The 11,397-nt window shown below is 50.8% G+C and overlaps 1 protein-coding gene across 4 annotated transcripts in view, besides 3 other annotated features; it reads left to right on the top strand.

Moving 5' to 3' along the window:
* Positions 1-5,816, top strand: part of MAPK14 (mitogen-activated protein kinase 14) — a 96,407-nt gene extending 90,591 nt beyond the window's left edge. The window contains exon 12 of one of the 4 annotated variants that reach the window (XM_017010299.3): positions 3,965-5,816. In XM_017010299.3, the coding sequence (XP_016865788.1) occupies positions 3,965-4,047 (83 nt within the window). In that variant the 3' untranslated portion in view covers positions 4,048-5,816. Of the gene's footprint in view, positions 1-41; positions 796-3,964 lie in introns of those variants that run through there. The other 3 variants (XM_017010300.3, XM_047418233.1, XM_047418235.1) reach the window with 3 other exon arrangements.
* Positions 2,270-2,319: a silencer, noted in NCBI's record as "silent region_17106". NCBI's record gives its function as "represses an Ori minimal core promoter by ATAC-STARR-seq in GM12878 lymphoblastoid cells {active_cell/tissue: GM12878}" and the evidence as "EXISTENCE:reporter gene assay evidence [ECO:0000049][PMID:35858748]".
* Positions 5,406-5,455: an enhancer, noted in NCBI's record as "active region_24417". NCBI's record gives its function as "activates an Ori minimal core promoter by ATAC-STARR-seq in GM12878 lymphoblastoid cells {active_cell/tissue: GM12878}" and the evidence as "EXISTENCE:reporter gene assay evidence [ECO:0000049][PMID:35858748]".
* Positions 5,516-5,565: an enhancer, noted in NCBI's record as "active region_24418". NCBI's record gives its function as "activates an Ori minimal core promoter by ATAC-STARR-seq in GM12878 lymphoblastoid cells {active_cell/tissue: GM12878}" and the evidence as "EXISTENCE:reporter gene assay evidence [ECO:0000049][PMID:35858748]".
* Positions 5,817-11,397: the final 5,581 nt, after the last annotated feature.

An 11,397-nucleotide genomic window follows, 5' to 3' on the forward strand; every position in this document is an offset into this window, starting at 1 on the left:
AGTGGTAAACAATGACTGTACCATCTCGCTGGCACCCCTAGAACAGAACATCTAAGCACCTGTTGCTGGAGGCCATTTCTGGGCCGGTGCACCTTTGATCCACCTCCCTGGCACTCAACTGACAGACAACAGGATTTCTCGTGGCGTCCAGGGCTGCATGTCCTCTTGGGTTACCTCGACCTGATCAGCTGGCTCCACTGTGTGTTTCCAGTGTGAGGTGTGAGGTCACCATCCGCTGCCATTACACAAAGACCCATTTCCCCTGGGCCATTGCTCAAGTATGACAGAGCTGATTGTCCTGTATGGAAACTCAGCCACTCACAGCTCTGCCCAGTGAGACAGGCAATGACTATCTGATCATGGTTGCTGACACAGTGCTTGTGGTGGGGAGTGTCCCTATCTGGAGGCAAACAGCCGAGTGGCTGCTGTGCCCTCAACAAGCCCCACCCTGCTTCACGGTGAGGAAACAGCCCCCACCCAACCAGTCCTCTCCCCAGCCTCCAGTTGAGTCAGGTGCCCCCCTCCAAGTGTTTATGTAATTTGTGCTGATCTTACCAGGGTCAAAGCACTTACCACATTACTTTGTCTAACTATTATTCTTTCATGACACAAAACATATTTATTGTTGAAAATGTTTAAATGTAGTAGGTAACATCTATTATCCCACTACCTGGAAATAATAGCTGTTGACAGATTGGCATAACTCCAAGAAATTTTTTTAAATCTGGAAAACATCGCTTTTAAAACTCATTATTATTCAGTGATCTGTGTCAATAAATGGCATTGAAACAGCTAGATAGACACTTTCCTCCTTCAGCCACAATCATTTCCAGACAGGTCAAAGATTTAAATGGAGAAAGGCTTTCAAAGCATGTCCCCAAACCTAGAAACCATGCAGGAAAAGGCAAATGAATTTGCCCGTGCAAAAACTGTAGAGCTTTCATACATTGGCGTCCATTTGGCAGGATTCAGTAAGGGCAGAAGCTGTACATAGCTGCGGTTCTAGGTAATTCTAGAACTTTCTAGAAGCTTTCTCGTATGTCAACAAGGAACAGAGTACAGACTTTTCACTCAACATCATTTGTAATAGCAGGAAAAAATGGGAACAAACCTCAAACACCATCAATAGGGGAATAGGAAATAAACTGCAGTATGTATTCATGCAATGAAATATTAAATGGCAGTGAAGACAAATGAACTAGAATGATTCCCCCACCACCACCCCAGACCCCTGATTTTGCCTCTGTCCCAGGAACAATAGGCAATGTCTGGAGACCTTTTTAGTTGTCACACTTGGAGGTGAGGGTGGTGAGCATCTAGTGGGTAGAGGCCAGGGATGCTGCTGAACATTTTGCGACGCACAGGACGGCCCCCACAACGAGGAATTACCCAGCAGAAACATGTCAGCAGTGCCGAGGCTGAGAAACAGAGACGACTCAACATCTTGGCAGATCTCACCAACAACCTTAAGTGAAAAAGGAGGCTGCAAAACGATCTATCTGGCATCGTTTACAGATGCATACGTATATAGTAAAACTAAAAGCAGACGAGAATAATAAACACCAACTTGTAGAGGGGTCACCTCTAGGGAGGGAGAGAGGGCATGGAATCAGAGAGGGGCATGAAAGGGCTTCAGCTGCCAAGAGCCAGACAGCTTAGGTTCTAATCCCGGTTCCACCACTGACACTGTGTAACCTCCGCAGGTTGCTTGATCAATCGGGGCCTCAGTTATCACAACTGTAAAATGGGATGATATTGATAATAGTGCCTTCTTCACAGGATTGTGGTGAGGGTTAAATACGTTAACCAATGTAGAGCACTTAGAACAGTGTGTGGCTCATAGTAAGAACTATATGTTTTTGTCACCGTTTTCATCATGATGATGAGTATCTATGATGTTCTATTTTTAAAATATCAGAAGTGAATATGGCATGTGTGTGAAACATCTCAGCGTTCTGCCTTGACAAGGACCTTCACTCCTCCTCCCACCCCCACCAGCCAAGTGAATTTCACCCTCAGCACTTAGTCTATATTTGTTAAGGCTGGCCATCCGGAACATACTCTCCAAATCTGAGACAATTCATCCAAGCAGTGTGTTTCCTTTTCCTCTTCCCCCACCACCACCGCCACCCCCCACCATGATGCTGGAAACTTTTCTTTATTGATACAGATGATGAGCAATGCGGTGATAAGTGTGTATCCCCCGGCTGTTTTCGCGTTTTCACTAAATTGATGGCTATGGGATTACCGGATTAACAAGGTGCACATTTTGACACTTTGGCAGCATTGCCAAATGGTTCTAAAAGCTTGCCCCAGTTGACACTCCCACCTGCCGACGACAGTGTTGTCACTGTTTCCTGTTGCCGCCCTCACTAGGGTAGGAGCTTCTCAAGCACAGGAACTGTGACATTTGTCCGTGTATTCTCAATGTCTTGAGAGGTGCCTGGCAAAATTTGGTTGAATGGATTAAGGCTTTACCTTAATCACCAGGTAGGTAAGGAGGATAGAGAAAAATAAGACACTCGTGCCCTCAAGAACTTACAATTTAGGTTTGTTTGAAAGTTAACTGAGAATTCCAAGTCTAAGGGTGCTGGTGAGAGTGGCCTGGCAAAGCCAGCCCAGGAAGAGCTGCTGAGCAGGTTGTAAGGAACGAGGATGCCCCACCCCCCCTCCTTGGCAAAGCAGAGGATGGTATTCCAGACAGGTCACAAACAGCTCAAGCAAAGACGTGGTGACAGGGATGAGGAAGGCACGCTTGCGGATCGCTAGAATGGAGGTTGCCTGGGCACAGACACCTTGGAGGATCCGATTAGCAAGAAAGGCAGGGCCTGTCCGGATGGGGGCAAGCCTTGCCCAACAGACTAAGAAGTTTAATCTTTATCCTAGAGGCCACTGAGAGCTACCGGGGGTGGGGCGTTATGGGGAGGCAGGGCTGCTCTGAAACAGGAAGATTAATCACAGCTGGGCTGCCTGCCGCTGGCTGCCTGTCACATGGGAGCTGTGCTGCCCTCAAGCTGCCCAGCTGGAGCACCCTCTTTCCAGGTGACCAAAGCTGGATCCGGGTGCCCCCTGGCTTAGGAAGGGCAGCCCTGGGCAAGTGTGAGGGAGTGAAGACCAGGCCTGAGAAGCAGGGAGAAGCTGTTTGTCAGGGAAGTGTAGTCACCAGGATCAGGGTGGCTTCCCCTCCACAGCCCCTTACTCATCCCTGTTGCCACACCTGTGCTCGGGCTGACAGTGACAGTGGTGTCCTGGAGCTCTCTGTGACTCTTATTTTTTTAGAGACAGGGTCTTGCAATGTTCTTTCTACTTAATTTTATTTCTTACAAAAGATTGGCCTTTCACAAGCATCATCCAGCGCAGCTAAGCATAGTGGTTACTAGCACTGACCCTGGGCAAGACTACCTGGTCTTCACTCCCAGCTCTAGTGCTTACTAGCTGTGTGTCCTTGGGCAAGTCACTTCACCTCTCTGTGTCTCATTGTTATACATAAAATGGGGGATACTGTTAACCCATCTCATAGAGTCCTCAGGAGGATTAAGTTACATGTATGTAAAGCTCTTATAACAACTTTTGGGAAGTAATTAGTGCTCTTTCCATGTTTATTAAATGCATATAATAGAAAATGAATGTATCCAGAGAGGCAGTCTGACTTACCTAAGGTCACACAGCAAATTAGAGACAGAGCTAGAATCAGAGCCCAAACCTCTGCCATGGCAGGTAGCCCTGCTAGTCTTGTTTGGGGTTATTTGCCCCTGACCAAGGTCCATAGGGCTTCTGGGGAGGATCTATGTGTCCTGACATTGGATAGTTTACTTAGAAGGGGTGGAGCAAGGAGACCCTGTGGCCTCTGCCCTGGACAGGCAGGTTGTGGAGGTGGCCTCCAGGGTGCACAGCTTCTCCTGCCTGAGGCAGGCTGCACACAGGAGTCCAGGCAGGACCTGACTCCATTACTGCGGTTTGTCAGGTCAGCACAGCAGAGACTGCCCCAGGCACGAAGGTGAGTTGGGCCTGCATATCAGCTGCACACAGACAGAGATGCAGCGATAACAAGGCTGCTGGGGATAAGGCCCTGCTACATCCCTGCCATTCGGCCAGTCACCGGCTGCCAGGCACTCTTCCAGGTACGTGGAATTCAGTGATGAACAAAATAGACAAAGCCCCTACCCTCGCCAACCTCAAGACATTCTATTAGAGGGGGGCAGACAATAAACAGGTACACAGGGCTTGAAGAACACGAGGCCAGGTAAGGCAGGTGAGCATGGCTTGTAATGAGGTCAGGGGGACCTCGGAGGAGGTGACACATGAGCAGTCCTGAAGGACCAGAGGGAGCACCATGCACAATGCCTGCAACCTGGCATGTGTTGCTTCAGTAAACCCTCCTGGTGTCCCTGGCTATGCAAGTGACATTCTCCCATCTTACTGATGAGGAAGCTCCACCTGTAGCTACAAATGGAGGCACGAGATTCAGACTCAGCCCTGTCTCCCAGAACTCAGCTACCTCTCTACTGGCTCACAGGAGTACAAGCACGCTTCAAGAATGTGGACGTCACAAAGCCTGTGGAGGGGGAAGCGGGTGGTGTGCAGTGGGGGTCTTGGGGAGAGGGATATGCACAGGGTTAGTGGGGTGAGTGGATCTAGAGTTCACTCGGGAACACCTCCTTGTAGATGTGAGTTTAGAGTTAGGCTTGGAAAGAAGGAAGGGAGGGAGAGAGGGAGGGAGGGAAGGAAAGAGGAAGGAAGGAAAGGTGGACAATTCCATAGGGAGAGGATCTGGCTCATGCAGAGCTTCAGTGGGAGTGGTGAGGAGGGCTGTCCACAGGGAGGAACCTGCTTTGGAGTGGATGGTGCAAATTCGTGGCAAGAGAAGAGGCCTCAGATTCAGGTTGTACACTCTGGTTCTTTCACCACCATACGAAGGTCCAGCCTCATGCTAGGACCTTGGGGGCCCCACAAGGATGAGGCCTCTAGGCCTTCCCTCAGGGAGCAAGGGAAGAACAGCAAAATCAGAAACATCCTAGGACAGATTGTATCAGACTGAACAGTGACCACACATCCCAGATCCCACCCTGTGGTAGGCTAGCCAAGCATATTCCCCTACTATTGCTTACTCGGTCCCACCATTTGGGTCTTCAAGCCACATCTTCCTCCTATGGGTAGTACCCAGAAGAGACACAAAACTCCTTGGTTGGTTCAGTCACTAAGTCTTTACTGAGCAGCTACAATGGGCCAGGCACAGTGCCAGGGGGCTCAGCAGTGGCCAGAATACTGCCCTCGCCCTTACAGAGTCATTGTCCAGAGGTGGAGAGGGACATGTCACAGGAGACAATGCAGATTAATATTATGCTGAATGCTACCAAGGACAAGGCCGAGATCAAACAGAGCGGAGGCCTGGGCACCAGACCTTACCCCAGCCACATCTTTGTAGGGTGGAGTGGAGGGTGACATGTGGGCTGGGTGCAGGGAGGCAGGCCTTAGGGGTGGAGTGGAACGGGGAGTGTGGACCGGATGGTGTGGGGAGGGAGGTGTGAAGAGGGGAAGCCTGTCATCCCGAACCCAGAAGGCTGGCTGAGAGGTGCCCGACTCACAGAGCTGTCCCCACCCCCGTCTTCCACCAGGGGGTGCTAAAGCTGAAGGAGGGGAGAGAGGAGGAGGTGGAGGAGGTGCAGGGGAGTGGGGGAGGGTGCCTTTTCTTTCTTGTCTCTCTTTCTCTCTCTCTCTCTCCTCCCTCCCTCCCTCCCTCCCTCCCTCCCTCCCTTCCTTCCTTCCTTCCTTCCTTCCTGCCTTCCTTTCGTTCTTTTTGAAATGCAGTTTCACTCTTGTTGCCCAGGCTGGGGTGCAGTGGCACGATCTCGGCTCACTGCAACCTCTGCGTCCTGGGTTCAAGTGATTCTCCTGCTTCAGCCTCCCAAGTAGCTGGGATTACAAGCAAGCACCACCATGCCCGGCTAATTTTTGTATTTTTAGTAGAGATAGGGTTTCACCTTGTTGGCCAGGCAGGTCTCGAACTCCTGACCTCAGGTGATCTGCCTGCCTCGGCCTCCCAAAGTGTTGGGATTACAAGCATGAGCCACCGCACCTGGCTGATGGTGCCTTATCTTTTGCTGCTGGGATGGATGTTCTGCTTGAGCCCTAAGTCTGCTGACCAGCCCTTGCCCCTGAGAAGGGGAAGAGGTAATGGGGAGACAAGGTTGGGGAGATGGCCTTGCAGGAGGAGCCCAGCACCCCATCAAGTTTCCAGAGGCTGGCTAGGCTCGGTGGCTCATGCCTGTAATCCTAGCACTTTGGGAGGCCGAGGCGGGCGGATCACCTGAGTTCAGGAGTTCGAGACCAGCCTGGCCAACATGGTGAAACCCTGTCTCTACTAAAAATACAAAAATTAGCTGGCCATGCCTATAATCCCAGCTGCTCAGGAGGCTGAGGCAGGAGAATTGCTTGAACCTGGGAGGCGGAGGTTGCAGTGAGCCGAGATCGCGCCATTGCACTCCAGCCTGAGTGACAGAGCAAGACTGTCTCAAAAAAAAAAAAAAAAGTTTCCGGAGGTCAGTAAGGTGTCCCAGGTGCTCTAAGCTGTTCCCCTGAGGGACTTACCAGAGGCTGCTGGAGTAGGGAAGTAATGGGCACAGGAGGAATGAGGCTGGGTGCCTGGTCTGCAGGGTCAAGTGTCCCCTGAGGGGTTTGGGAGGCAGGCACCTGCTCTTTCCCCAGATGTCCGCTGGGCTCACTCCCAGACCCACTCAAGGGTTGCTCAAATGTTGCCTCCGTAGAGAGACCTTCCCTGATCAAATAGTACTCACTAGTCCTTTAGATCCTTACTCTGCCTTATTTTCTTCATAGCACTTAATACCACCTGCCACTACATTTAGTTGAACCATAGAGAAGTATTAAATACCAGCATTTTAAATTACTTGTTTATTGAGACAAGGTCTCGCTCTGTTGCCCAGGCTGAAGTGCAGCTCAGTGCAGCCTCGACCTCCCAGGCTCAAGTAATCCTCCCACCCCAGCCTCCTGAGTAGCTGGGACCACAGGCGTGTGCCACCATGCTTGGCTAATTTTTATTATTATTGTTAGTAGAAACAGGGTTTCACCATGTTGTCCAGGCTGGTCTCAAACTCCTGGGTTCAAGTGATCCTCCCACCCCAGCCTCCCAAAGTGCTGGGATACAGCCATGAGCTACCACGCCCAGCCAACAAATAAATGTTGAATGAATGGGTCAATGAATCCTTGGGCTGAGTATCTGGCAAAAAACTTAATAGAGGAGTTGGACGTGAGTTGGAGCCGACTCTCACTGAGGGGACACCTTCTGGGGCAGGGACTGGACAGCCAAAGGGCAGGGGCTGGGGTTGGGCAGCTGGAGTACCCGGGCAGAGCTGACACAGTCCATTGGGGAAGGAGCCTCTGGCGAGACCTACTGTGTGCCAGGCACTGAATTGGACACTTTTCTAGTCATCTCGTTTAGTCTTCACAACAGCCCTGTAACATGGGTCTTATCACCCACTCTCGTTTTACAAATGAGAAAACAGGCTTAGAGGAGCCAACTAACTTGTCTAAGATCACACAGCTTACCACGCCACAGAGCAGCCCACATCTGCAGTCTTTCTTCTGCATCTCCCTGCCTCCTTGTAATTTTGCTTGTTTCATGGAGTCTTGAAAGCCCCAGAAGAGCATGGGACTCTCTAGAGCTGGGGCCAGAGCTCTAGGGCTCCCTGGCCTGTCCCACCCTCACAGGACCCCAGATGTGTCATGCTTTCTCATTTCTGTGGAGGTCTCATGGTGAGGATGTTCCTGCTGGCCCATCCTCATTATGGTGAGGAGGTTCATGCTGGTCCTGCCATATGGGACAGACAGGGTGGCTGCTGTGCTCGTGGGGCAAGATAGGGTCTGGGTGGCCAGGATAGGGGACATGACAGTCTCATAGTTATGTGGGGCTTTTGTCTCGATCTCTAAGAAACCAGTCACCAATTCCCACACCATGTCTCTGCCTCCAGAGGCTCACAGGCTAGCTAGGAAGACAATGCAACAACAGCAGCCACTTCTCAGGCACTTGCTGGGCACCAGGAATTCTAGTTGACAGTTAAATGTGCAGACTTAGGAGCCAGATGCCAGGTATGAAGATCATGTTCACCACTTTCTTAGTTATGTGCGACCTTGGGCAAATTACATAACCTCTCCGGGCCTCAGTCTCTCCATCTGTACCAGGGGAATAATTATATTGGAATAGACTAGACCAAAGCAGCCCTGACATCTGGGAGCTGCCTGGTCCTATCAGCCAGGACTTGGTTGCTCAGAGCTGTCCAGCCTGGTGCAATTCGGTCTTGCTGTGCTGAACATAGACGATTTCACAGACATCAGCATAGAACAAGGCCATCCGCGACCAGGGCAGACTAAGACAAAAATGAAACTACTCCTTAATCATATCTGAACACAGACAAAACATGAATATTGTCAAATCACAGAAATGACCCAAATCCCCCTGTAGAGCTAAGCTGAGTGGAGGCTGCTGGTTTACCAGCTGTAGCTTCAGCCTTGCTCTAGTCTGCTTTCCTTCTAGGCAAGATGTATTAAGACTCCCAATCATAGTGTTAGCTCCACTTCCTGACAGCATCAACCCAGAACAAAGCCTCACTTCCTTAACCTCTCCCCAATCACCTAACACAACTCCAAACATTAGACTAAGTCCTTTCTAACGCCCCCTTCCTGGGACGCCCCATGATCCCCATGGTGCATGCTCTCCCTTGTTGCAACGAGTCATCAGCTCAGCTTGTTCACCCACACGTGTGTTTCTGGTGATCTCTGGTTGGAGGCATTGAAAGTTCCTACCTCATTGGGTTGTCGTGAGGAATATGTACTTGAAATGATACAATCCTAAGGCTCTTTCAATATGCTTGTCATACTTTATTATTATCCCCATTTCACAAGGAGGACACTGAAGCTCAGAGAGAGGGCCAGACTTTGCCCAAGGTCACACAGCTGGTAATGACAGAGAAAGGATGTAAATTCAGGCCTCATTCCAAAGCTAGTTTCCTGAATCCCTGCCTCCATGCTCCATGCTCATAGGGCAGAAACCAACAAGACAACTTGGGTTGGTGTTTGGAGAGGAGAAGAGCAAAGGGCCCTTGGAACTCAAAAGAGAGCCTCAGGCTGGAGAAGCAGGGTATCCAGGATGACCTGAGTGACCCTCTCCTCCTCCCCTCCCTTTCATGACTCCCCAACTGGATCCTCCAAGGGCTCCCTCCCAGACTGCCTGGCTGCTGAGTAATGCAGAGCCAGTCAGGCCCAGAGTAGGGGTCAGTGTCAGCAGAGTCGGAGGCCTGAGTCACTTCCTGACCCTTGCTCAAGAGCATCCGGAGCTACAGCCAGAGTGGCCACTCGTGCTCTCAGAAGATCGCACCCACTTGGGCGATGAGCATGTCCTTGGTATCCCCACCTTCCTGGGCTCACCTCTGCCCCACTCAGGTGTTTAAGACGTGCAGCAGAGAGGCGCCATCCTGACCTGGTGCCACATCCTAGCCCCTTTCCTTACTGGATCCTCAAACCAGAAGAAAACCTGAATCTCTGAGGTCAGTTACTCTCTTTTGCCTGCGTCTAGCCTAAAATCTGGCTTCCAGGACCCCACCCCAACTTCAGAATCAAGGTACCTTGCACTGGTGCCACTGATCCCAAAGGTCCAAAACTCCTGCAGCACTCACAGGCAAGCGACCCCGTTCCTTAGGCTCTCATGGGGTCTCAGGGCCAGAGTAGGGGGTGGGGGAGGGAAAAGGCTGGGGAAAATATCAGATACCCCAGGGCAGGATGGACTGAGGGAGACATGGTTGGATCAGTAGACATGTCCTTATGATGTGGGCAAGGCCATTTCCTTTGAGGAGCAATTCTGTCAACTCTAGGCCACCGCATAGCCTCGCAGCCAAGAGCAGGGACTCTAGAATCAGGCTGTACTTGCTTTCACCCAGCTCTGCCCTTACCAGCTGTGTTACCTTGGGCAAATTACTTAGCCTCTCTGTACCTCGGGTTCCTCATCTCTAAAATGAGGATAATCATATTACTGACTCACAGGCCTCTTACCAGGATTAAGTGAGTTATATAAAACACTTAATGACGGGCACATGGCAAACACAAGTGTGTATTAAATGACTCTTTTACATCTAATGGGCTGACTCCTCCATTCATTCTCCACACATTTGCTGTTATATTGCCATGTGCCAGAAATGAAAAAGACAGATTGCCTGACTGAAATAATGGCAGGTGTTGTTGTGTGATGATGGCACCCCACCCTCATCTCAGAATGATCTTCCAGGCTGTGCCTGAGGCTGCAGGACTGCCCGGGAGGGCTTGGGGCACAGAGTTTGGGGGCTGCAGACTCCCTAGTGTGGGCCCCCGGCTTGCTGTAAGCCCCTAGCAAATTTCTTTCCTTGTTCAATAGACCTTCTTTTTGACAAAGTGAAGCAGGTGGTCCCCGCCCCTTCCACAGCCCCATGCCTGGGCAAGAGAGGGGTTGGACAAGTCAGGCTGGGCATCCAGAGCCCTTGCAGCCATCTCCTCCCCCCACCTGCCCACCTTGCTCCTCAGAGGCCTTTGTGGTTTGAGCAAAGAATCTCCATCAGGCTGCACAGGCCACCAGACAGGTGGCAAGGGCCCCAATTAGTCATTGTCCTCATAGAGCCTTAGGAAGTCCACAGAAACTGTGTTCAAAACTGCACATTTGGGCCAGGTGCGGTGGCTCACTTCTGTAATCCAAACACTTTGGGAGGCTGAGGTGGGCGGACCACCTGAGGTCAGGAGTTGAAGACCAGCCTGGCCAACATGGTGAAACCCCGTCTCTACTAAAAATACAAAAATTAGCTAGGAGTGGTGGTGTGCACCTGTAGTCCCAGCTACTCAGGAGGCTGAGGCAAGAGAATTGCTTGAACCTGGGAGGCGGAGGTTGCAGTGAGCTGAGATGGCGCCACTGCACTCCAGCCTAGGCAATAGAGTGAGACTCCATGTCAAAAACAAACAAAAATCCTGCACATTTGAACCTGCGTGGATATTTGGTATTATAGAATTAGTGCTATTAATTTTAGGTTTAAGAATGTATTGTGGGCCAGGCGCGGTGGCTCACGCCTGTAATCCCAACACTTTCGGAGGCCGAGGCGGGTGGTTCACGAGGTCAGGAGTTCAAGACCAGCCTGGCCAAGATGGTGAAACCCCATCTCTATTAAAAATACAAAAATTAGCCGGGTTTGGTGGCAGGCACCTACAATCCTAGCTAATCGGGAGGCGGAGGCAGAGAATTGCTTGAACCCGGGAGGCGGAGGTTGCAGTGAGCCGAGATGGCAACTGCACTCCGACAGAGTCTCAAAAAATATATATATATAGTATTGTGGATACGTACTTTTAAAAATCCTTACGTTTTAGAGATAC

This window comes from Homo sapiens, chromosome 6, assembly GCF_000001405.40.
Source record: "Homo sapiens chromosome 6, GRCh38.p14 Primary Assembly".
Lineage (NCBI taxonomy): Eukaryota > Metazoa > Chordata > Mammalia > Primates > Hominidae > Homo > Homo sapiens.